This window comes from Homo sapiens, chromosome 8, assembly GCF_000001405.40.
Source record: "Homo sapiens chromosome 8, GRCh38.p14 Primary Assembly".
Classification (NCBI taxonomy): domain Eukaryota; kingdom Metazoa; phylum Chordata; class Mammalia; order Primates; family Hominidae; genus Homo; species Homo sapiens.
In genome coordinates, this window is record NC_000008.11 from 130,966,898 (window position 1) to 130,994,656 (window position 27,759).

The window sequence follows — 27,759 nt, forward strand, 5'->3', positions numbered from 1 at the left end:
CAAGCCTGCTCTATTTTAATCATTGTTTTTGAACTTTAATTGTATATTGGTGCTAAAGCTTTCACTCTTAGAAAAAAGGAATTACCCAGAAAATATAGGGGAAATGAATAGACCTCATATGTGAAAAGACAATTGTGCTACACAGTGAAAACTGTTAATAATTTGAAAAAAAATTAAAAATTTTTGTTGCCAAAATCTTGACTCTGGCATTTGGGTTTATATATTAAAGGGTTTTTTATGGAATTTTCACCCATAAATGTTTCTAAAAGCCAATTGTGAGCATAGCATTGCAGAAGCTGTTGCTTAATTGGCTCCTGAAGTCATATTCTGTAGGTTCACTTCAGACTGATTCAGCAAGGAGGGTGGAAGTCTGGATAACATTCATGTCTATTTGTTAGTGGTCTAAGACCCTAGGAATTTTGGTTCTGCTCAGAAATATTAAGACTGCAGTGTTCTCGTGTCAAGCAAGCTTGAGCTGAATCCCAGCTAAGCTCAGCAACTCGCTTGCTCTGTAACTGTGATAACTTATATTGTTCCTTTGAGCTTTGGTTTCTTCATCTACAGAGTGAGAACAATACCTGTCTCCCAGGATTGTTTAGACTAAATGACAAAGCTCCTTATGAAAATGCTCCTTATAAAGGTGATTAGAAAATAGCAGTGGCCATCAGATATGTTTTAATTCTTCCCAGTGCTCAACTCACAGGCCATGGTCTGCATTACTCTATAGTCTATATTCCATGGATATGGTATGTGATTTAAAGAATGAGTCACAAAATTCAGGTATTCAGGTTTCATATTTTGTTGTTTTTTTTTCTTTTTATGTTTTTAAGGAGTGAAGATTTTCTCAGATGCCTTTATTAGCAGTTCTAAAATACATCAAACTGGGAACTTTGGGACAAAGCTCTTTCCTGATTTGTTCAATCATTGCTAGATGCTCACTCTGTGCCAGGAGACCCCAATGCATAAGGCAGGCCAAGGCCACACTTCACAGACAGAAGCTCAGGTTCTGTAAGTTAGTTGTGGGAACTCAGGCAAGTTACTTAACCTCTCCAAACCTCATTGTCCTCATCTGTAAAATAATAATAGCTCCCTTGTGAGATTATTGAACACAGTGTGATATGTTCTTGTAACATGCTTAGTGGCAGTGACATGCCATGGGCATGGGCAGGTGGGGGAGAGAGAATGAAGAGTGGTCTGTACTAGATGCAGGCAATAAGAGGGACCGTGGTCTGTAGAGAATTTAAAATCATAAAAAAAATGACTAAAAGTTATTCTGCTTTTTTTTTTTTTTGAGACAGGGTCTCGCTCTGTCACCCAGGCTGGAGTGCAGTGGCGCATCTCCGCTCACTGCAAGCTCTGCCTTCTGGGTTCACGCCATTCTCCTGACTCAGCCTCCTGAGTAGCTGGGACTACAGGCGCCCACCACCATGCCTGGCTAACTTTTGGTATTTTTTTAGTAGAGACGGGGTTCCACCGTGTTAGCCAGAAGGGTCTCGATCTCCTGACCTCGTGATCTGCCTGCCTCGGCCTCCCAAAGTGCTGGGATTACAGGCGTGAGCCACCGCACCCGGCCAGTTATTCTGCTTTTTATCATCACTATTCCTTGGCAGTTTTAAACAATGGCAGTGAAAAAAACAGTCTTTGCTCCCAGGTGACTGCTTGATAGATGGTGTGGCATCATGCACATCCTCTGTGGCTCTCCACCCTACTCCAGTGATTAGCTCTTCTCATGTAGAATAACCCACGATCAGTTTAACCTTAAGTAATGCTTAGGACATCAGCGGTATTCTTTAGCTGAGGTCTTAGTCTGATATAGCAACAATTCTAACATTATGAAATAAAGAGGAAGGCACTTTTTTCTTTGATAATAAAATGATAAACACTTGGGGAAAATGCTGAGGTCTCCTGAAAGGTATTTAGTCAAATGTGAGGAATAAAGAACACATTTGCAAGCCCAGAAGACATTAGACACTGAATCTACTGCTAAGTAGCCCCCTTTGGAAAAAATCTTTCTCTTAACCACATCTTAGGGCTTAAAGACTTCAAAGTCTTTTTAGAGAGTGCCAAAACATCTTTTTACAGGAGTTTCGCTACTTCTATCAAGACGCAGAAAACACTGCTAAGCATTGTGTCATTAAGGACTGTGTGAAGGTTAACTTTATGTGTCAACCCTCTGGGCCATGGTGCACAGATATTAGATTATATGTTATTCTGGATGTTTCTGTGAAGGTGATTTTGGACAAGATTAACATTTAAATTGATGGACTTTGAGGAAAGCAGATTGTCCTTCATAATATGGGTGGTCCAATCAGTTTTAGGCCTAAATAGAGAAAAAAAAGCTGACCTCTCCCAAGCAGAAAGGAATTCTGCAGCAGATGGCATTTTGATTTGAACTGCAACATTGGCTCTTTCCTCAGTTTCCAGTCTGATGGCTGTAGAATTTGAATTGCAGATTCTGGACATGCTAGCCTCCATAACTGAATGCACCAATTCCTTAAAATAAAGCTCTCTTTCTTTTTCTCTCTATCTACACATTCTCTTGGCTCTGTTTCTCTGTGGAACCCTGACTAATATACATAGTATAGTTATTATCATTGCTGTTGTTACTGTAGCTATTGTTATTATTAACTACACTTGTAGCTCCCATCATTTTGTCATGTGAAGACCCTGTATTGAGTTTCTCAGAACTTCCCAAATGTGTTCCTGGCCACAATGATTTGCCAAAAATAGATTGTAACCTGGGTGTGCAGCTCTTGGGGCTGCCAGAGTCTTCAGGTCAGTCACCTCTAACCATGAGCAGCATCTTTATTTAGCCCTAGAGCAAATCTTAACCCTTCTTATGTATGTAATGATGTGGACAAAGGTGGAAGAGACTGCTTCTTATGCATCATCTCCGCCCCTGCCAACAGGGAACAGATAAGGAAACTGAGGCTCAGAGAAGATTAGGGACTTGCCTAAGATCACACAACAAGTGAGTAGTGGGACCAGGATTTTATTAGGGTCATTATCTCTGAGCTTTATTGATGCAGTGTCTTTTCCTCTTAATTTTTGTATCTTAATATATTTTGTTCATTTATCTTATGTTCTGCATTAAATTATAACTATAGGGTCCTTTCTGCAGGGACAATGACACCTTTGTGAGTTTCTGAATAGTCCCTGGCTCAGCTATGCATGTGCTTTCAACCTAATCTGCCTACATCCATGCAGCTTTGCAGGATTAACTCAGTTGCCTGCTCCCTAGATCAGCAGTCCCCAGTTCCTGGGCCATGGACTGGTACTGGTCCACGGCCTGTTAGGAACTGGGCTGCACAGCAGGAGGTAAGCAGTGGGCAAGCCGACAAGGCTTCATCTGTATTTACAGCCACTCCCCATTGCTCACATTACCACCTGAGCTCTGCCTCCTGTCAGATCGGTGGCAGCATTAGATTCTCATAGGAGCGCAAACCCTATGGTGAACCGTGCATGTGAGGGTGTAGGTTGCGTGCTTCTTATGGGAATGTAATGCCTGATGATTTATCACTGTCTCTCATCACCCCCAAGATGGGACTGTCTAGTTGCAGGGAAACAAGCCCAGGGCTCCCACTGATTCTACATTATGGTGACTCATATAATTATTTCATTACATATTACAATGTAATAATAGAAATAAAGCGCATAATAAATGTAATGCACTGGAATCATTCCCAAACCATCCCCCTCCACCCTGGTGTGTGGAAAAATTGTCTTTAGAGAAACTGGTCCCTGGTGCCAAAAAGGTTGGGAACTGCTGCCCTAGATGATATTGTGTTGGTTCCACTAGTTGGAATTCACCAACTCTGGTGGAAAGCCATTGGGGGTGTTTCCTCATTGTTTCTTTTTTAGGTCACTCTCACTTCTGGTTGCAGAATGGCTTATAGAAAAGCAAGAATGAAAACAGACCCGTTAGGTTATTCTGAGTATCCAGTGAGGTTATTCTGAGTGTCCAATGAGAAATGACAGGGACCTGGAACATGGTGGCAGGGAGAGAGGTGAATGGCTTTTAGATCTACTTTTGCTATGGTGTGACAGATTGGCTATGAGGGATGGATGAAAGAAAGACATTCGGGATAATTTTTGTGAAGACTTGGCACGTAGAAAGGATTCAATAACATTAGGTACTGATGTTATTAATATGCTCTCTGAAGTCAAAGGCTAGTGAATCTTACACCTCTTTAGGTTTAGCACAAGTCTGGTATACAGTAGGAGCCCAATAAACCCTTGCTTGCTGAATATCTCTGGTGTGTTACTGTGTTAACAAGTGGTCATTGTCATGTTAATTATTGTATGTTAATAACAAGCTCCTGGTGATAGAGTTAGACATCACCTGTATTTGGTACTCTTGCTTAGATTATTTATAAGTCAAAGTATTATTCCCAGTTACAGAAGCCCTGCTGAGAAGGAACCTCTTACAAGAGGGTTAAGTGTGAATTAAGGATACTGAACATGATATTGATACACATAGAGAACCCAATGTTATTTGTATATTACTGCAGAACTTACAGTTCTGTGTTTTCTCATTCCCATGTCTCTATAATCACAATTTTAAAAGGGGTTCATTGCTCATCATAATATCATTCATTTATCTATTGAGATAATCATTCATTAAATATTTTTTCAAACTCTCAAAATGATGCAATTTACTGAAGAAAAGGTTACTACTCTTACAGAGCTTCAGGCAAGTCAATAAGGATAACTGAGTGTGATAAATGCAGTGATGGATGGAAGGTTAAAGACAGTGCAAGCCCAATTAAGGATGTCTAGTCTCAGGGAAGGCTTCCTGGAAGAGGTGATATGTGAGCTGAGTTTTGGAGCACAAGCAGACTTTAGCTAGATGGATAAGAGTGACAATGGTTTTAAGTAGAAGAAATTGTATGAGTGAAGCAATGATGATATGACAAAGATGATGTATTCATGGAGCTTCAAATAGTTGGATGTGGAATTAGGCAAGGGCCAGATTATAAAGAGGCTTGTGTACTAAGCTGGGGAATATCAACTTCATCTTGAAAGCTACTGGGGGCTACTGAAGGATCTCTTCTTATTTGAAGTACAATTTACATAGAGAATAATGTACATATCACAGGTTTACAGCTCTATGAATTTTCATAAAGTAAAACCACTCTCATAAACAGAATCTACCTAGAAGCAGACCATAATAGAACCCTAGAAGCCTCTTGTGTCCTCATACAATCACCACTCTTACAAGGAGGAGGGAATACATTATTTCAATAATAAAGCAAAAGCCCAAGAGAGAATAGCAATCATTTTGACAAAACCATTACCAACCATACTTTTATTGAGCACTTACTATGTGTCAAGCCCTGTACATGAATCATTTAGTTCTCACAACAACTGATGAGGTAGCTGTGAGATTTCAGTGTATATAGGTCAATACAGAAAAATATATGTCCACAGTCTGCTGTCATCTCTCATCATGTGTGTTTTGCTAAACCTTAATGTTCCAGTTGTCAACAGGGCTGGGATCAATTTGCAACACATACACATACAGACAATGAAACAGATCAAACTTAGACCTTGATTCATTTGCTTTGTAAGGAAAAAACAATTTGCAAGGTAATAATAATAAAGCCAGAAATAGGACAACATTTAAAAAACTTAAAAAGACCCAAAATATCTATTTTGGAATAGCTTCCCGAGTCTGAAAAATGGTATTTCTTAAATGATCAAGGCAACCAAAGTAGGGTACTTTGATATTCTCTTAGGGCCAGCTTATATTTATAAACCTGTTTTGTTCATTTAAAATGAATATTCTTTCCTGGCGGTCATTTAGGAAACCGCACGAATGAAGCCCAACACATTTGCCACCCTGGTCTTATGCTACCTGTGAGAAGAAAGTAATTTTATTCTGGAGTATGACAGGCTAGGTTTCAGTACATTTTCTAGCTGAGTGACCTTCCTTCAGCATCAGTTTTTTTTTCCCCCAAACCATCTGGGATAAGGAGATAAGCATCAGTTTTTTTTTTAATCTGTAAAATGGGAACGATAATTAGCCTCTCATGGAGTGGCTCATGTGAAAATGACAACTAGAGTCACTAACATAAGTGGGAGCTAAATCCTTCTCCACATTTATTTTCTTTTACACTTTAAACCCTTAACATGAAACAGAAAAAAAGGCTAATACTAGTGCATTTACTTTCATCCCTTGCCTCTTTGACAAGTCACAACTATCTACAGTATCTACAATAAAATTCTCCCTTTTCCTATAAGCCTGTAGGTACGTGTGTTTTTTGTCCAGTTGTATCCTGTAGAGTTTTGGGAAGGGAGTCACAGACAACCCAAACTTACTAAATGTGGTAGATTGCTTGCACATATGTGCATAATAATTCCTTTTGGCTAATGCCTTACATGTTGATTCTTGGCTTAGTCATGCTACTTGCCTTGACCAATGGGACAACAGCAAATGTGGCATAAACAGAATCTTCAAAATTGTTTGTACATTAGGGCTTATGTTTTCTTTTGCAATGCTTGGAACCGTGAGACAACTATATGAATGTACCTGCACTAGCTTGCTGGAGGATGAGAGGGCACATGGTGAAGAATTAGATGCCCTGGTCCACAGTCTTCCAAAATACTAGGCATGTGAGTGAGGCTGCCCTATACCATCCAGCAGCCAGAGTCAGCAGAGCTGATCAGACCAGAACTCTCCAGCCAACACACATTTGTGAGCTAAGTAAATGGTGATTGCTTTAAGCCACTACATTCTGGTGTTACTTTTTTACAGAGCAAAAGATAATTGATACAATGAATTAACACATATGGAAAGACAGGATGGTTGATTAGGCTACATGACTAGGAAGGAGGGCTAACGGCTTCTGAGTGCTCCTGTTGTGTGTGGCTGTTGTCACCTAGCTTACCTCATGTGATCCTCACAGCTACTCAATGGAGCAAAAAAGCATATTTTATAGCTAAGAAAATAAATCCAGAGAGATACTATATATCATTCAAGGACATATCACAAAGTGGGAATTAGTATCTTGTTTTATAGTTCTGAGTATATTGACTCAGAAATGAAGAAATTTGCTCAAGAGACTCAACAATGCAGATGACAGAACCAGATTTGAAAACTTGGTAAGCTTGACACACAAGCCAATACTCTTTTGAATACTCTTGATAATATGTGTATACAAAGTGCTTCCAAAGCTGTCTCTCTGTCTGTAGAGTAGACTAGCAACCTATCCAACAAAGCACCCTTCGTTTGTGTGGCCCATTATCCCTTGATGGGTTTTCCACCTCCCTAACTTCTGAGCTTTATTATCAAGAATGGCAGCCTTTGCTGGCTCCTGTCTTGGATGAGGGACAGATGCCCTGTGCCCGGGATGCTTTCTCTTGGGGGCCTGAATCCTGAAGAATCAAAATTACTTACAAGCTAATGGCTCTAGCTAGAGACACTAGAGACTGATGAGATCCAGCTGGAATGGGGCATAAAGGACTGTGGTGGGCATGGTAGCCAAGACCTCCACATCTCTTCCAAGCACAGCCAGTGCAGTATTTTTTAAATTGGAGTTTGTGACACATTTGTGAGCTTGAAATCAAATTTAGTGGATCATACCCAGCAGGCAAAAATGAAATAGAAGAAAATAGAAAATATCAGACTGTAATAACTATAAAGGTAAGTTTTTTTGTGAAGATTTCATTTGTTTTATATATGCCTGTATGCCTTTGTGTACTAAATCATCAAGTAAAATGAACTTCTTACTGGGAGTTGCAGTTGAAAAAATAAAAAGGCCATGAGTATTCCTTCCTGAATAGGTGAGGCTGGAAAGCTAATGATTTAATTTCCCAGAATCCTTGCAGCTCTGGATGTTGCTTGAGTTTTGCCAGTTAGATGCACCCCTGCAAGATTTAAAACGTGAAGGTTAAAAGGAGAGCATTCTTAGCTACTTCTGCTTTTCATTCCTGGCAACCACAGTTACGGAGATAATGGATTTTTAAATAGCAGCCCTCCAGTGTCTAGTCACAAGTTTTGTGGCTGTTCAGAAGGTGGCTATTGTCCACATATTGCCAGGGTGTATCTAGAAGGCGACATACCTCTGGAGCTAACAGCAGTGGCAATGGTGGTTTTCTGACCTATGCCCTTTATAATAAATGGGAAGCTGCTTCACCAGGTTCAGAAGAGAAGCTTCGATCTATCAAGAGAGAATTTCACCCACCTCCGAGGCCCATGGGCAAGAACAGTGCTGTCCTCTTGTTTAATCGTGGGAGAGGTGAGAGGAGAAGGAAGGCATTTTATAATTTAATCAACACTCTCAAAAATCCTTTCTAAAATTCATCAGGCCCTTAGAAATTATGTACACCCTGGAAGTTCTTCTGACCATATATTTGCAAATATTGCACCACATATCTCTCTACCATCCCACTCCATACCCAAAGAACATGCGTACTTGACTCTGTTTGACTATTCAATTCAATTCCCTTCAATAAACAGTAGTCATGCTGACATGTGACAGGCTCTGAATGTGCTGCTGGGAGTTAAATATGTCACCATCCTGAAGAACACACAGTCTGTGGGGAATGCAGGAGCAAGAAACTCCCAACCACAAAACAAGGTCCATTGTAGAAGCAAGAACCTTGAACTCTGGGGACACTAAGAGTGACACGGGGGATGGGGAAAGGGTACCAGTTGGTGTCAGTCCCTAAATTAGTTAAACCACAAGCATTTATTTCAAATAAGTGTCACAGTGATTCAGTGAGGCAGGCTGGATTATTCCAATGTAATAGATAAGAAAGCTGAAGCACGTAAAGTTACATTCTTTGCTCAATTTTATACAGCTAATGAGATGCAAAGCTGGTGTTCCAAACCAGGCCTGTCTAACTCTATTGTCTATGTAGCCATTAAGTTGTCTATAAATACAGTTAACAGTCTCTCAGAAATTCTTCTGCTGAAAGAATTCTAACATTGAAAGATCAGAAGTCACAGATAGATTGGGGTGTTGTTAGCTATTGGACAATTCCCAGTGACACTGCCCGCAATTCTGAAAATTACTTTTATACTATAGTAACTTCAAAATCCCTTAAAATGCATGCTATAATTTGTGATGGGGGCAGGATATTTTATAAAAGCTACTAAAATATTACTTCAGTATGCTAAAAAAAACCACCACCTATCTTTTGGAAAACTGCAAATGGTGGTGTGGAAAAGACCTTTACATTGTAAGTTTCCTCACCACCCCTCCAAGAACATTCTGTCTACTCCAAGGGGATAGCAGTAGTGATTGATCCAGGTTTTGTGGGTCCTGAGACTTAAATAACTTGGGGGTGGGGTAAGAGAATACTCTTTAAGAAAAACTGTGAAAATCATAACTGCGAACTTGCTAGGGCCCCTCTGAAGGCCTTAGAAGGGGCTTGCGAGTGAAGGCCTTTGAAGCTTAACCATCATTGGCTTGATGATAAGGGCACTTGTGATAAAGCAAACTGTATTTCATTATTGTAGGTGTCGGAAGATGCTAACACCTTGGATAACTACCTAACCCATGACTGCATGTGGACAGATAAAGCAAATTATTGCCTATTTCAAGTATTAATATGCGACAGTTTCCATAGATACCTGATTATCCCTATGCCATAATACATGCTTCAGAGGTTATTTGAACACCATCATCTACATAGCGAATTCTTAGTTTCTAATTCAATTTTTATAATTCTGAAGTCATTTCTTATTCATTGATATATATTTTATGCACTCATCTACTGAAATTTAAAAAATATTGAATTTATATTTTATCTTGATGTGGAACTGAGCTTTTCACATTTATTCAAGAAGATCATATTTTAATATCAATTGGAGGAGCTAATTTGGAAGTTGAAAGATAATTAAAATTCAAATAAGAAGCCCTTTGCTTGCAGCATTCTCAGGAGATTATATATCCTCCTCAAATATGATATTTAAAAAATTTTAAAAATAATTTACATTTGTAGTGTGTTTACAGTTAAAAATTACCTTTACATGGAGCTCATTTTATATCAAAACAACCTTGGTAGGAATTATTAAAATGGTTTTACAAGTGAGGAGACTGAAGCTCAGAGATTACCTTGCTCAAGGCCAACCTGTCCCATCGCGCAGGACATCAACCCTGTATTCTGCTTCTGCTGCATCTCAGCTATCAAGAAAACATGACCATCCAGGCCAGTGCTCCGAAACAGAAATTGATCAGAGGCTGGAAGTCTCCACCCCTTTACTACTATATCTCCTCACATTGCCTGGAGAAACTGCCCGGGTCGGGTGTGAGCGCATGGTGTTTGCAACCTCCTCCTCAGAGCCTTTAATAAATGGAATTGTCACTTTTCACACCAGCATTTAACTGTAAGCTTGTGTCAATTTTCTGCTCATGAGAAGAACAATGATCAATCCAACCTTTCTTACTTATACTCGAAAAACAGAAAATATCAGAATCAACAGAGCTTACTTGGACAATACTTGTAATACTCATTCATTCAGTGGGTCTCTTGTTTTTTGAATCATCCATAAGGTGTAATCCAACCTTCTTTGCTTTTTTCCTCTTTTCATACTCCAAACATCTCTATTGGTTTCTCCCTTTACTTATTTAAAATCAATTCAGTCTCTGGTAGTCTGAGGATTTTGCTTTCTGTGGAATGTATATATTTCACAATTAAAGAAAATGCCTAAAGGAGAGAAGCAATAAATATGGACTACACCACTGCCAGTGAGAGCTCTTATTGGGCACCTACTATGTTTCAAGATTTGCACATGAATTATGTGATTTAATCCTCATAACAATTAATGAGATAGGGATATTTATTACCACTATTCCACAGATGTGTAAATTGAGGCACAGAGAGGTTAGGTACTTGTCCTAGGACACACAGCAAGTAAGTGGCAGCACCCAGATGTGCACACAGGCATCTGGATTCATTAGTGAATTCTCCTTTTCAGGCTCTGTGTTGCAGAATCTGATTTAGAGTTCATCCTTTTCTTGGGTGCAGTGGATCACATGGGGCTGACTCTCGAGTCATAATCTTTTCCATGATTCCATCTAATCTATTGTGAAATATCTTCCACTACTCATTCATGCATCTGACAAACTGTTCTTCAGCAAACGTGTAGTAAGGAATGAGTTAGTGGCAGGCCCTGTGCTCTGCACTGGGGAGAGCAGTGGAGAAGCTTCACTCTGCCTTCACCATGCTTGCAGTCTGCTTGGCTGAGAAACTGAAAATGACTATAATGAAATATTAATTACATTACCATAGAAGTCAGCACAAGGCATCATATGTCCCTTGCATATTCCAAAGAGATTCTGGAATAATTGTGTGAAAACTAAAATGCTTTGAGCTGTTGGGGAATCAGGGGTTGTAAAGATGAAATATTTACATCCCTGTAATTAATATACAAAAGACATGGCTCCCATAAATCTAAATTGCAAATTCAGTTGGACAGTGAGAATGAAGAAAGAAGAGTTAATGGATTATAGAGTTCAACAAGAACATTCTCTGTTGGATATGAAAATTCATCAAAAACTAGCCTCTAATTTACTAAAGAGAGAAGAAAATGATTCTTCAATATCTGTTGATAATAATCACATATTTGGGGAAAGAGAAATGCTCATTGGAAATGTTCCTTAAGTTAATTATTACTTTACTCATTTGATACAGTGTTAGTGAATGTTTAAATATCAGGATAGATATTATAGGGGGAAAATCACAATTCCTCCATGGATCAAGGAACTTGTAATCCAGCAGAGGAGATATGAAGACATGACATATATAACTCTAAGACTAAGTTGGAAACTGCCAAGCTTACCAAACTCTAGTTTGTTACAAAAAAATTCTATTTAAAAATCTCCTCTTGTTTTTAATTCCGGCACCTAACTCAGGACTTGGTCCACAGTATGTATTCTATAATGCAGTAACCTAATTAGATTTTGATAAGATGTATTTGACTATCACCAAAGCTCTGAAGAGAACTCTTGAGTGGAAGACTCTAAGAAAAAAGTCAATTAGTATAGAATTTTGATTGGATTTTAATGCCTTTGCTGAGTCCTGAATAATGAAGTGATCAAACAAGCGTACTAGATGGCCCCTGGACCAAGCTGTGCCTGAAGCCTGCTTAGAAATAGAACTTAGGTCTAATGCTGGTTGGGGCGGAAGACAGTCTACCATGGAATAAGTAATGTTCTATGATTATTAGCAGTTTTCTCATACTTGGTGGGTAGGAAAGGAGAAAGCTGGAGCCTTTAGAATACTTTGGAAGAGCTACAAGAGCATAAAATCCCATGTGAGAAGGGCAAAGGGAGCTCCCTGAAGAACGCACTATCCTCAGTCTAGTCAGGACATATCACTGTGGGTGGGAGCCTTCATTGGAAGCTGGCACCTTCATGGGCTACTGGGTCTTTTCCTCTGGGTAGCTTTAGTGTGTGTTGAACTATATCTTTTCCCTATATTAAGACAACTCATCTGATTTCCCCACATCACTATGTGTATTCCTGTTGATCACATTACAGTCCTGTTGTGACAATTGTACACCTGCCCCTGGATATTCAGTAACATGAGGCAATATGTTCTTCTTATTGCTAGAACCAATATGAGTTGAGTTTCCTGTCATTTGAGGCTAAAGGAGCGTGCCCATGTGGAAGGGAGGGCTAGGGCCCTCCCAGTGGAGAGAGGGGTAGATTGTGAAGAGCATCCCATGTTGAAGGACATCGTAGCATAATAATTGGTTATATGGGCTCTGGAGAAGACTGTTTAGGTCTGAGTACCAGGTGTACAACTTACTAGCTGTTATTTAGCCTCTATGTTTTTCAAATTCCTCATCTATAAAATGGAGGTAAAAAATTCACCCACTTCATAGGATTTATCTGAGGATTGAATGAAGTAATCTATGTGAAGTACAGAACCTCACACATAGTAAATGCTATATCAGAGCCAGTCACTGTTACTTCCATCCAGGCAATGTTTAAGGAGGGGAGAGAGGTAAGAAATGGGTCTGACTTCATTCTAACAGCAATAGGAAGTTGTATTAGTATCCTAAGCTGGCATAAAAAATTACCACACAATTTGGTGGTTTAAAACAATAGAAATGTATTCTCCTACAGTTTTGGAGGTCAGAAGTCTGAAAGGAAGGTATTGTCAGGGTTGGATTTTTTTCTGGGGCCCTGATGGAGAAACTGTCCCATGTCACTCTCCTGGCTTCTTGTGGCTGCCAGCAGTCCTTGCAGATGCCTCGCTCCAACCTCTGCCTCTGTCTTCATGTGGTGCTCTTTTGTGCGTTTCCTGCTCCTGCCTCTGGGATTCTCTGTGTTCTCTTCTTATAAGGATACCAGTGATATTGAATTAAGGCCCACCCTAATCAAGTGTGATTGCATCTTGAATAAATCTGTAAAGATCCTATTTCCAAGTAAGATCACATTTTGAGGTTCGGGGGAACATGCATTTTAGGGGGACACTATTCAACCCAGTACAGAAGTCATAGAGATGACCTAACTAGTTTTAGATTTTAGAAGGATCACTCTGGCTGCAGCCTGGAGAATGAATTGCAGGGAACCAAAGGGTTGTTACAGTGATGCAGGAGAGAAATGGAGAAGGAAGTAGGGTTAGAAACGTTGGAAAAAAATGTGGAAAAAAGATGGATGAGAAAGAGAATTAACTGCTCATAATTATTACTGCATGTCAGGGAAAATGGAGAGGACGGGTAGTGTGAGCTTGAAGAGTTGGTGGACAAGTGGTGCTGTTTGTTCACTAAGATAGGAAATACTGCAAGGGCAAATGTTTTGGGAAGGAAAGATCAATACTTGTTGAGCAAATGAAGGATGAAATAATGGTTTTGCCCTATGCCAGATTTCCTTTTGCTTTGACGGCATAGTTCTCAGCCTCTGTCTCAACTTTCTAGATTCCAATGGCCGATCAAGAGTAGTGTCAAGGTTTTTAAAAGATAAACTTGGAATTTTGGACTTTTCATAAATAATTTACAGAATAGCACTGCATCACAGTGGCCTCCCTACCCCACTTAAGTGATTCACTAGCCTATCTACTGTGAAAGGCTGTCAACAGTATACACTAAACACTCATAGCTAGCTGGTTCTTTCAAGTCTACCCCCCACGTCTGCTAGCTGTGTCCTATCTTTCTTTACCAAGAGGCAGTAATGTTTGTTTCCAAATCTGTTCATGATAAGCAAGCTTTCGTTTCTATGAAAAATGAGTTGAATACTACACTATACTCAAAACTTTCATTCTAAAAACATTGCTTTCAAATGAGGTGTGGGCAAGACATTTGCAAAAGATTAGAAGGAAAAAAATTCTAGGATGGTTTTACACCAAGATAGCTGAGATAGTGCCGTTAAATTATTTTACCTCTTTTATAGCCAATCTATTTTGGGTGTGACTCATGCAAAATAGTAAATGTAGAATTCTGGTCAACTGACCCATACTCAAGTCCCACTAAAATAAGCTATTTTAGGCATGGGTTATTTAAAAAATACTTATTTTATTTTTCTCCTGCTCTATTTTACTGCCACTCTTGAAAAGTGCCTTCAACTGTATCAAGGCAACAGAGCATGTCTTCTCTTCAGCATTTTATAGTTAGGCTATATTAGGTTTCCAATTTCAATTTCTTTAGTCAAAATTATCTGCACAGACTTTCAAGATAAAAAGCCCCCACAGAGTTCTTCAGTGGCTCCTGCAGCTCCTCCAGGCTGGATCAAAGGTGTTGAGGTCCCTGATGGTGATTGATTTCTGCTTTCTGGATGGCCTCAGTATGCAAATTATAATTGCACATGAGCATAGGGTCATGAACTGTCTTTGAATCAAGGGTAGCATTAAAAATTTGTATTGCTTGTGGATGCCAAATTTGAATAAGAACACAAATAACAAGAAGAAAAACTGTTGTTACTAGAATCAGAATACCTTCTACTTTGAAACTTAGGATATGGCCTGGGTGATCCAACAGTTCAAGGATCAGCCATGACCCTCAGCTCTCATCTATTGAGGCCCCACTATGTCAGCCAATGGGTCAGATGCTTTCTATATACTGCTTGATTTTCTTACAACCAGCTTGAGATCTAGGGATTATTATCTTCGACAGATGTTGAATCTAAGGTTGGTGTACACACAGTCACCCAGATATAGACTTAGAGCTAGGAATCAAATACAGGTTTGTTTTTCTTCAAAGCCTTCACTTCTTCCGTCATGCCAGAAAATGCAAATAATGCGCTAGGAAGATTGCAAAGAACCAGGCAGCCAGATGGAACACAAGAGCTGGTGTCCTACCCACATCGGGTAAACACAGTTCTTTGAATGAAGTCAATTGTTACAGGGAGATCAGAGGCCATTAACGCTGGTACTGTGCTTGCCACTCAAAACCTTCCTGGCAATTGAAGGGAAGCATGGTGCTAACCCTGATATAAAACAGAATGTGATAAACTCATGTTAACAAAAATGTCTTAGTGCCAAAAAGAAAGAAATAACTTACAACAGGAAACATTAGAGGATGCTTCATAAGGGGGGCGGGGCATCTGAGCATCAGATTGGGGCGTTGGTGAAATTTTCACAGAAATAGCCCTAACATTTGTAGAATTCTTTACAGCTGAAATAACACTTTTTCAGGCATTATGTTATTTGTCTCTCAAAACACTCCTGTGGGTTAGGGAAGGAATTATCATTTCTAATTGAGAGATGAGGAAACTCACATACAAAATGGTTTGACAACTTGCTCAGAGTCACACTAGCAAGTTAGAAATAGAAATGGGACAAGCATCTAGGTCAATACTGTCCAATAGAAATACAATGTGAACCACATATATAATTTAAAAATTCCATAAAAAATTAGCCAGAAACAGTTGAAATTCATTGTTAATTGTATATTCTAGTTAACCAAATATATTCCAAATATCATTTCAATGTATAATCAACATTCAATTAGTTTGTAAAAAGTCATTAATGAGATATTTTGCATTTCTTCTTTTTTTGGATTGTCTTTAACATCTGGTGTGTATTGTACATGCACAGCATGTCTCATTTTAAAACAGGCACGTTGCAGATGCTAAATATACACAGAGGGCTAGTACCATACTGGACAGAGTAGAGATTTTCTGACTTCTAGCCCAGTGTCTTTCTGCTCTGCTGAACTGCCTCACAAATATATGCAGAGTGGGAGTGGAACATCTCATCCTAATGGAGCAATAGTGGCATGTCATTTAGTTTCCTGGCAGGACATAGCTGGTACCTCAAAAGGGATAATAAAAGAGAGTTACTGAAAAATTAAGGTACTCAACAATGGATGGTAAAGCACCCCAAGGTTAGGAAGGGCAGGCAGCTACAAACACCCATGGAATCTGGCAAATCCTTTACTCTAAGCGAGGGCTGCCTAATAGGAACTGTGGCTTTTGGTAGATAAATGCAGCCACTGTAAATCTACAATCCAGCAGGGTAGGATATGGGAAGATAAATGTATGGACGTCTCTGTCCTCCCACACTCTAGTTCACATCCAGTGCCTCCCATTGGCCGAACCCAACAAGAAGCCAGAGGGTAATGAGTCTGTTGATGAGATCCATAAAGGCCACACTCCAGGGGCAGAGAGAATGGCAGAGAAGCAGAGAGGGAGGGAGACAGATAGGGAACGACCAGCAAGAAATCCAAGGCATAGACGTGCGGGGCATCTTTGCTGGGCTGTGTGAAGTGTTGGAGTACAAAGTGAGAGGTAGCAAGTGACATGATTGGAATGTCACGCTGGGGACAGGTGGTGAATGGGCTGTGATGCAGGGTAAATGAAATTGGGTGGGTTCTATGGGCAGTAGCAATCCTGGGGCTTTCTCACATTTAGTGTGAGGTCTTATATAATCCAAATTAGGCACTAAGAAGATGATCCTGACAGGTGTAATACTCTGTGCTGGGGTTTTGAGATGTGAGTTAGTCATACACCTCCCTTCTCAAATGAACCAACTGAGAAATAGATATGGAAGACAGACAGGAATCGACCAAATCAAATCATTCAATCAAAGCAGCCACTTTATTATTGGCAAATGAATGGGAGACTTGGCTGCAAAGGAAGCAGACATGAGCTTCCTATTTTTTCTTTCTGCTCTATAGCCACAGTTCCTCAGCCAGAGGCAGAGTAGCTGGCTACTGTGGGCTCACTGCATCAGTGGAATCCCTGCAGGGAGGACAGCAGCCTGAATGTCTGGGCTTCCTATCAGGGGTAGGGGACAGGAGCCTGCATGGGTGGGCTCCCTGTGAAGAGGACAAGAGCTTGCATGGGCGGGCTCCCTGTGTGGGACAGAGGAGACTGCATGAGTGGGCTCTCTGTGGGGAGGACAGGAGCCTGCATGAGTGGGCTCCCTGTGGGGAGGAGAGGAGACTGCATGAGTGGGCTCCCTGTGGGGTAGACTGCCTGTGGGGAGGAAGCACATTCTTACCCGACAGAAAGGTCTGGAGAATGTATATACAATGACTTCTAACATATGAATACTGCTCTCTGGAAAAGAGAAACCAATGGATTCCTGCCTCACCATCTCAACATCAGCTAGAGAAGGACAAGAATAGGTGAAAGAAAGCAGTGGCTTTGGCTTCATGCCCTGCAGAGCTCAGTAAGTTTGTTTAGTTTTTTTTTTTTTTTAATTTCATAGATCGTAAGGAAAGTGGAGAAAAGGGAAATAGATTTATTTTTCAAGAAGAATGTTAAGGTGAGTGACTACAGGTGGCTAGATTAGTATACACTGGTTAGTAACTGGTTAACATCAATTAGAAAGCTATTTTGTGAGAGGACTTAAACCAGGCAGTGCTAGTAAAGGAAATATAGAAAAAAATGTGTGCATATATGGTGAAAATAGCACCCACAGTGATAGGGACCATGGTTGATGTGAAAGGATCAGGTACAAGCGTGTATCACAGAGAAAGAGGAGTACTTTTTGGGGGAATGGGAGGATCATGAACAGGCCGAGCTGGTGATATATGTGGGACATGCTGATGAGGCTATCAAGCTGGTGCTGGTGGTGGGCATCTGGATCTCAGAAAAGAATGTAATGTTAGAGATGCTGATGTGGGAACAATCCGGAAGTGAAGGTTGAAGCCATGATACAGCACCAAAAGAGAACCAAGACATGAACAAAAAAGAAGGGGTCAAGGAGAGGCCCTTGAAGGATGCCTACCTTTAAGTGTTTGGAGGAGGAAGAGGGATATGTGAAGGAAACAGGAATCTGAAAGACTGGAAAGAAAATCAAGTTCCCCCTAGTAAAATTAAGAGAGGAGAGTGCTTCAAGGAAAGGGGGTTGGGGGGTGACTCAGCAATGCCAAGTGCTGTGAAAATCAAGGATACGAGGAGGCAAAAATAAGGCAAGGGTATAGCAGAATATATAAAGAGATTAATTCCATACAGAAATGTATGAATGAAACTCTCATGGAGGTGACATTTGAGCTGAGTTTTGAAGGATTGATAAGGTGCAGGGATGAAAGGAAAGTTACACCAGGTAGGGAAAAAGGTGTAAACAAAGGCATGAGTGTAGAGGGTAAGAAGAATGTGTAAGAAACAGTGAATATTTCAGTATAAACTAAAGAATAATGAATATGAAAGATGTTGATAACAGATAAGGCTGAACATGATGGGTGGTCAGTGGGTGGCTTTGAATGTAAGGAATGAAGAATAACAGAAAATGACTTGGAAGTAAGAGGTTTTTGGAGTATAATGAGAAGACCCATCTAGTTGGAGCAGAAAGAATAAAGATTCCAAGGTTCTACCACTTTTAGGTCAACCTTGATTCTCTGAATGAATTAACAATGACAAAGCTCTACTGTACTAATCAATATTATTTTTAACTTTAAAAAGTCCCCAAGATGTTAAAAGGTACCAAAATGAATCAAACTAATCAACTCAGAACTCAGTAGGAAACCCAGTTTTCTCAATCTACTGTCCGAACCACCAGTTTACACCAGTATTGTCTAACAAAGATATTTAAGTTTAACAGAATTGCTTTAATACAGCTAAAACATCTGCTGCATTTAAAAATAATCTTCCTGCTGCTGCAACATATGGTATCATCAGAAACTTTATTCCAGTGCCCCCAGAGCTTCTGAGACACCTCGAAATGCCATGATTACCATAAGGAGGTTTATACAATTCTCCAAGCTGCAAGAAAAACAATTAATTCATTTTAATATTTAAAATAAATATGGGCCATTTGCATCATTTGGGAGAAGCAGCAGAATTATGAAAACTACTAAATTAGAATCTAACTCCCTAAAGAAAGATGCTTCAAGATGTAGCTTCCAGATGGAAAATTCCCCTAACAAGTCAGCTTAAGATGTATGCTTAGCCTGTCCCAGTCTCTCCTGAATTGGGTAAAAGTGCTCTTCCCACTTAGTTTTCTAATGGAGGGCACAATGGGCACAGGTATCTTTATTTTTACGCAAAGGAGTTATTTTAATATTCATATAGGTAGAAGTGAAGCTAGGAGCCAAAGTTTGAATTCAATAGAACTAGTTAAATAAATATTACTCAGAAGATCCTACATTTCAGCCACTATGCTAGATAAAAACCAGAGACTCCATTGAATTATGTAGAGTAGCTGCCTTTAACTAGTCTTTAGAGATTGTGGAGAGAGAGAGAAGCACAGAGTAGTATATGTAATAAAGTGGGATGCATTCTTTAATAGACTTAACTATCATGACATGCAGCGAGTACAAGAAAACAATTTCAACTCTACCTGGGAGACAAAAGCAAGCCTCCTGGAGAAAGGAATGCTGAGGCAGAAGAGTAGAGACACATTAGGAGGGAGGTGGATTTCCCAGAACTATTAATACATGGCACAGGCTGGTGAAATAGCAGTTTGGGGAAAGAGACATGCAATGATTGAGATCCAGTGTGGCATGCTGTTAACACAGATCTGTCAAAGAATTTCTTCACTTTGGTGTACACAGCACTTTGAATAATGCCTGGTGCATAGTTAACACTCAGGAAATATATATCTGTTATTGAATGGAAAGCAGTAATATTCCACTTAAGAGGTTCACAATTTGCTGCAGGATATCAGAGAAAACCTAGTGTCCAGCATTGCTGTCCTTTAATAGGTCATACGTATCTTGTCATCGGTATCTTTGCTAATTTCTTTCTTCCCTCTCTTCTAATAATTAAAGTCATACTCATCCTCCAGGTCCAATTCAGAGTAAAGACAGTCTTATTGGGCTCTCTCTCTACAGAATGAATGGGTGAATAGATAGATGAATAAATGAATGAATGATCATGGGAATTCTCATAAATCCTTCTGACAAACCACTTTCTCTCTTCCTTTAAGATTTTTGCATGTGTTTTTTGCTCTTTATGGTGTACCCTTTACTGCTTCTCCACTGAGCTGAATCCTATTCACATGTCAGCTCAGGTAAAATTTTTTTTCGATAGCCTTCTGCAAGCCTCCAGGTTAGGTTTGACCCATACACTATTGCCATACATGTCTGTGTAGTCATTCAGCTTCTTCTACACCTGGTAAACTCTTTAAGGCCAGGATCTGATTGCTAGTCAGCATTATATTCCCATTGCTCAGCAGAGCTCCTGACACATAATAAACCCTCCATAAAGAAATTAATTCACGGTTGAACAAATTAAATAATTATTTTTTTTTGTATCCTACCATGAGATAAAAATCATGAGTGCTTGAAAAATCCCACAAAACCCAGTCATTTCTGTTGAATATAACCTATTTGATTCTTAATTTATAATTGCAAAATATTACTATCAATCTTATTTAGGATCATTATCCAAGGAAAAGGTATCTGCTGTCGCTTAGGTTCTTACAGCATCTCCTTCACAGGGTATAGAATTTTTAACAATTATGGCATTATAATTAGTTCTGATAAGAGGAAAATGGGAATTCATTTGTCAATGACACATGATATTTTAAAAGATATGAATGGGACCTAACGATGATTCTGGTTGCTATGCACTTAAGGAGAGCCATCATCCTGATTTACCTCCATATAAATAACCCTAAGTTATTACAACTGAGCCAAGTCAATCCATAATAAATTCTCACATGAGTCCTCTTGGGACTGAACTATGTTGACTGATTCATATAAATCATTACACACAATAATGCTAATAGAAACTCTTCACTGACTTGCAAGGGCATCTCACACAAAGTAATTCTAACCATTAAGGAGACTTTTCAGGAAGGATGTTATTATTCCCATGCCATTGATGGGCAAACTAAGACTCAGAGCTTGCTCAAGCTCACTAAAATAGTAAGTAAGTAAAAATTACTAATCCAGGGCAATCTCATTTGAAAGCCTATGTTTTTTCTGCCAGACTACACTGTCCGTCTATTACTGAGGAAGTTCTCAAGGATAATGGAAACCTGAAGCAGAGATCAGATGCCAGTGGAAAGTAACTTTAGCACTGATGATGTGGAGTCAGCTATCTCAGACAATACCCTTGGGTAAATAAAGGGTGGTCAACATGCCACAAACTTCTTATCATAGTTGTGAACACAGGACTAAAAGAAGCCTACACAGTATTTTACTTAATCCTAGGAACAAAGAACCTTCCACAAAAGATAGCCTTTTCTTGTATTTTATCCAAGAAATCAATGAAACTGACTTATATGTTTGTATTGCTTTCTACATAGTATCTCATTTGAGGCAAATATAATGCAGAAGAGAAAGATATTGGCCCATGTATAAAAAAGGAACCTATGGTGGAAAGTTAAGTAGCTTAGGTGGCCCAACTAGGAAGTAATAAGAGCCATGACCCAAACTCTAGTGGTCTTTTCACTAAATTCTAGTTGTCACTTTCTCTTACCTCTGTATATTATTATTTTCTTCCTCCTTCTGCAAACTTAAAAAAAATAAAGATTAGAGAGAATGGTGGATGATTCCTCCACAATTTTAGATTATTAGATCACAGTGATTCCAAGACACCCAGCTTGAAGGATGAGAAAAGAAGCAAAAAGTCTTATGGAGATGGTAAGGCAATATTTTTTAGTGTCTCCAATATATCATAAACACGAAATAAGAGGCATCCCATACAACTCACCCACAATTTCAGCTCTTGTTGTGACAAAGCATTAAGAACAGTTGAATAAATTATTAATATGGCAGCATTCTCTGAATTGGCACAGATCCCATGGAAAGAGTGACATGCCAGTCTGGCAACTGATCTGTTTTGCACACGAACATAATACAGTAGTCCTGGGAGATACTCATGTTTATTGTACAAGGTGTCTTCTTTCTTAAAGTTATTTTTCTTAATTATTCCAAGGGCTATTCAGAGAAACTACTATGAGGTTCCAGAATTATTTTAGGCAATAACATAGAAATTCCTTATTCTGAATTTTGTAAAGTCAAAGTAAGATCTGAAAACTCAGTAGTTTCCTCTGCCCTGGGAGACAGCAGATGGCAGTGGGAGTTCAGTCCTGTCAGGTAGGCCCTACCTGTCTGTCTCATCCATTAGAGTCACACGGACCTGGCTTCACTTACTTCAAAGATCCCTGACTTCCTGGTGATTTGATGCAAATTAATCATGAAGAAAATGTTGAGTCTTTCTCTGCTACTTTCTTTATGATTTTTGCAAACTATTATTGCCTAAAGTCTTAAATAAGAAATGTGCTGTATTATAAATAATAAGACATAACTTTAAGAAAAAGGGCTTAGTTAAAAAAAGGTCTAGGATTGTAGAGATAATATATCTACAAGCATAAAATTTCCAAGAGCATATATACTTAGGATGCTACAAGTTGATGCTAAAATCAGTTTTCAACACATACTTGATATTCCTCCTGGAAAATTGTGTTCAGAACAAAGGTATTCATGGACTTAAAATATATAAATATCTTTAATAGGGACAAATCTTTATTCTTTGAAAGTAAATTTAATTTTGGAGAAATATATTATTTGAGGCCAAAGCTACTTTTAAGTTCTTATAACATCCACCCAATCAGGATGTCCAAAAAATTCTTTTATCTTAACCTCTCCAAATTGGAACACATTATTGCCCCCTGCAATCCAACTTCTTTTCCTACTGTATCCCTTATTTTGATGTTGGCATCATGTCGACAGGACTTTTTTGTGTACATCTCTTCTAAAAATCAGGTTGTGGTTTTAGAGACTAGACATGTGTAAGATTCTTCCATGCGCTTACTCTAATTTGAATTGGTAAACAGAAAAAAAATGTCTGAAATAACACATTTACAGTTTAAAAGAAAGAGGGTCAAAGATAGGCATGCCGATGATTTTGAGGAATCATGACCTTGTTCACAAACACAGATGTCAGTGAAAGGTGTCAGAAAATAAATTTGTGACTGTAACCTCTTTATTTCTTATGGGGAACGATGAATTGAGTGTGGAGAATAAGACCAACCCATTTTGACCTGTAAGTCTAACACAACTATTTCAGACTCTGGAATCCTGTGACATAAACTTTAAGAGAACACTTTTAAGTCAGGACGTGTTTGGGAGTAAAACAGTAGCTCCATATAATTTAGAGACTGGCTAGGTGATAACTAAAACACACAGCCTTGTCAGTTGGTACCTGTCTTTGGTTCTCTGTCTCCAGGCGCAGCCTGGCCTCCACACACCTCCGAGTCTCCAGGAAAGCTTGGCGCTGGGCCCGGTCTGACAGGTAACTGATGAAGATTCCAGCTGTGTTCATACACATGAATAGCACTGCCTGGGCCACAACCTAAAATAAACACAGTCTGGTCAGGCGCTTAAAACAAAAGCTATTTACAAGCAACAATAAAATACACAAATAAATATGAATTTCCAAGGTAAATCCTAATGTAGTAATCCATATGTTTAATCGCATGTTTGTAGAGCTATGCCCTTCATTCAGATCTTGAGGCAAATGTCATCCCTTTGGAGAGGGCTTCTTTCACCACTTTCTCCAATTTAAGGCTTCTTTCTCCCCAGGTTTAGACTGGAGTCTTCATGGGAAACCTGCTGTGAAAAAGAGGGAATCTGGTTGGCTTCTTCACTCCACCTTATCTGTCTCCCCTTCACCAGCAAAAGCCTCTGGCTTTTAAGGGGCTGGAGAATCTGGTGGGAATAAAAAGAAGAGACTAATAAGAAACAGGAAAGGAATCCATTGAATACCTTTGCCTTCGAATACATTGACTACTATATTTAGACTCTGGTGTTCTCGGGTCTTCTTGGATAGAATCCAAGTCTTGTTTCTAACTCAAGAAAAGAAACACGTTTTTCTATTGCTTTTCATCTCCACTTCCATTATTCTATTTCTAGGCATCAAAATATGCTTCCTGGACTCTTAAATTGGGCTTCCTACTTTTTCATTTGCCCCCCTTCTAACTACTGTTCAGTCAAGAAAAGTAGACAGATTCTTGAAAAGGGGTCAACACATGGAATAATTTCATACACAAAGTATGAATTTCTTTATTTTCATGGCTTTAGCCTGAGAACAGGTCACAGCTCATGCAGTGTGTGGTAGCTATAACTCCAGTAGAAAATGCAGGTGGCTTAAAGAAGCAAAGAACAGAGTTCCAGACCACTGTAGCTTCCAGAAGGTGGGAGGAGAATTCCAAAAAGAAAAGAACCCGGTGAAAGAAAACCTAAAATTGTTTTATAACCTCTTATCTGAACCACATATGCATAGGGAAGACAGTAAGCAATTGAGTTAAGGATAAAATAACTGAACTGATATTTGAACTGCAGTCCAAAAGACAGACTTTCTTTTGATTTCAATCAAGTTAATTACCTGCTAAAGTGAAACGGAACAAAACAAAAATCACTATTTCCAGGGGAATGTAAGATAATTCAGTCTTAACCATAGAGCATTCACAATGCCCAGAACATAGCACAGAATTATGTGACATAAAAATAAACATTAAAATGTGACTCAATCTCAAGAGAAAAGATAGTCAACAGACATCTATTCTAATCTGACCCAGATGTTGGAATCAGCAGGTCGAGATTATAATAGTTCTTACAACTTTGCTCAGTGACATTCTAGCAGTGAATGAAATTCACTGAAAGTAAATATTTTAGCAGTGAATGAAAAGATAAGAAATAAGAAAAGAAATAGAAACCTCAAAAAAGGAAAATTTCAGAACTGAAAAAGAAAATATCTGAACCAACTGGATATTAACAGCAGAACATAGATGACGGAAGAATCAGTAAATTTGGAAATAGGCCAATAGAATATAACCATTTTGAAAAAATTACTAATAATTATTTAATAATATATATTAATAAATAAAAATATATTTTATATACTTTTTTGAATGGAGTCTCACTCCATCACCCAGGCTGGAGTGCAGTAGTGTGATACTGGTTCACTGCAACCTCTGCCTCTGGGGTTCAAGTGATTCTCCTGCCTCAGCCTCCTGAGTAGCTGGGATTACAGGTGTGTACTACCATGCCCAGCTAATTTTTGTATTTTTAGTAGAGATGGGGTTTCACCATGTTGGCCAGGCTGGTAGGTCTCAAACTCCTGACCTCAAGTGATCTATCCACCTTGACCTCTGAAAGTGCTGGGATTACATACATGAGCAACTGTATCTGGCATATATATATATATATATATATATATATATATATATATATATATATATTTGAGATAGGGTCTCACTCTGTCACCCAGGCAGGAGTGCAGTAGCACAATCTTGGCTCACTGCAACCTCTGCCTCCCAGATTCAAGCAATTCTCCTGCCTCAGCCTCCCGAGTAGCTGGGATTACAGGTGTTTACCACCGCATGTGGCTAATTTTTGTATTTTTAGTAGAGATGAGATTTTCCTATGTTGGCCAGGCTGGTCTTGACATCCTGACCTCAGGTGATCTGCCTGCCTGGGCCTCCCAAAGTGCTGGGATTACATGTGTGAGCCACCACGGACAGCCAAAAAAAAATTTTTAAATGATTTATGAAAAGGTTTTAGTAGTTCGTGTGACAACATTGAAGGGCCTAACATACATATAATTGGATTCTCAGAAGGAAAGGAAGGAGAGAATGGGGCTAAACTAATTTGTTTAAAGATATAATGCAATTCTTATAAATTTTATAAAGATACATATTTACACGTTCAATAATCTTAGCAAACCCTACATAGGTTAACTGTGAACAAAACTATTCCTGGGCACATCATAATCCAAATGCTAAAAAAACAAAATCTTGAAAACAGTCAGATAAAAATGTTACATATAGGAGACATATTCTTCAGTTATGATAAAGATTTTCACATTAGATAAAAAGAAATATTATATGTCCTATTTGTAAAATATAGTCCTAAAATATATTGATATAAAAATTTGGAAGTGAAAACAAAATAAAGCTGGCTTTGTTGTATAAATGCCAGACTAAAGATAATTTTTTGAAAAGGGCATTACTAGAGATAAGTAGGGTCACTATACAATAATAAAGGGTTTAATACATCAGAAATACATAAAAATTCTGAACATCTACACATTTAATAGCACAGCCTCAAAGTATACACTGCAAAATAAGATAAAAGTCTATGTAATTATTTATAAATCTATAGTCACAGTGGTCTCTTTTAAAACAATTTTCAGCAGTTTATATACCAAACAGATTAAAAAGTCAGCAAAGATAGAGATAATCTGGAAAGCTCATATGATTAACAACCGTGAAATGAAACATTGATATGGTTTGGCTGTGTCCCTACCAAAATCTCATCTTGAATTGTAGCTCCCATAATTCTGAGGTGTAGTGGGAGGGATCCAGTGGGATAAAATTAAATCATGGCTATGGTTTCCCCCATACTGTTCTCATGGTAGTGAATAAGTCTTAAGGTATCTGATGGTTTTATGAGAGATTTCTTCTTTCACTTGGCTTTCATTCTGTCTTGCCTGCCACCATGTAAGACATGCCTTTCTCCTTCTGCCATGATTGTGAGGCCTCCCCAGCCACGTGGAACTCTGAGTCCATTAATCCTCTTTTCTTTATAAATTACCCAGTCTCAGGTATGTCTTTATCAACCTCATGAAAACGGACTAATACAAACATGCTATTCAATAATTAGATAGTAGAAATTCTTTTAAGGCACATATTGAAAATTTGTAAAATATCATCTTAGGATAGGACTTGAAGTTAGCCTCAGCAAATTTTGAAAACCAGGTTTCATCTCCTGTTACAGTGTTTCAAAGAAATGCTTCAGGATCTTGATCCTACTTGTTTAAAATGTCCACTGAAAGCTCTGCTTTTGTCTGCAGCTGATTTGGGCACATGGATTTTGATACCCATCACGTAGAGTTTGATCAACTTTCATTGTTCAGCCAGAATTGTGTAAGCTGAACTAATTAAGATGTCAATGATATTGGCTATTGTTTCTGCCGTTAATAGTTGGTCCTCTTCAGTTAGGACATGGACACAATTAACTTTTTCTTCACAGATTGATGTGGATTGTCTGCCCTGTGGGCTTTACATCTTCAACATCATCTCATCCTTTCTTAAAATGAGTGATCCATTTGTAAACTGCCAATTTCTCTGGGGCATTCTTTCTATGAACTTTTGTAAAGCACCAGTGATTTCACCATTCTTCCACCAAAGCTTCCCCATCAATTTGACGTTTGTCCTTACTTCAATTTTAGCAGAATTCATGTTGCTCTGATAGGGGTTCTTTTGTAACTGATATCTTATCCTTTTTAGTATCTCAAGTTGAATCCTATTTAGACACATTGCCACATTTGTATAAGTTTATTTTGGTGCAAAAAGTTTTGAAATCCATATTATCTTACCATAAACCCATCATTTAAATCCAGTTAAATAAACAACTGTGAGGAATCACTGATCCTGTGGAGTCAAGTGGGCATGAACATTTTGAAA

General features: G+C 38.8%; 1 protein-coding gene across 5 annotated transcripts in view; it reads right to left on the bottom strand.

Moving 5' to 3' along the window:
* Positions 1–27,759, bottom strand: part of ADCY8 (adenylate cyclase 8) — a 260,609-nt gene that overhangs the window by 186,597 nt on the left and 46,253 nt on the right. For all 5 annotated transcript variants that reach the window (XM_017013006.2, XM_006716501.4, XM_005250769.4 and 2 more), the window contains exon 2: positions 23,496–23,645. In XM_017013006.2, the coding sequence (XP_016868495.1) occupies positions 23,496–23,645 (150 nt within the window). The remainder of the gene's footprint in view (positions 1–23,495; positions 23,646–27,759) is intronic.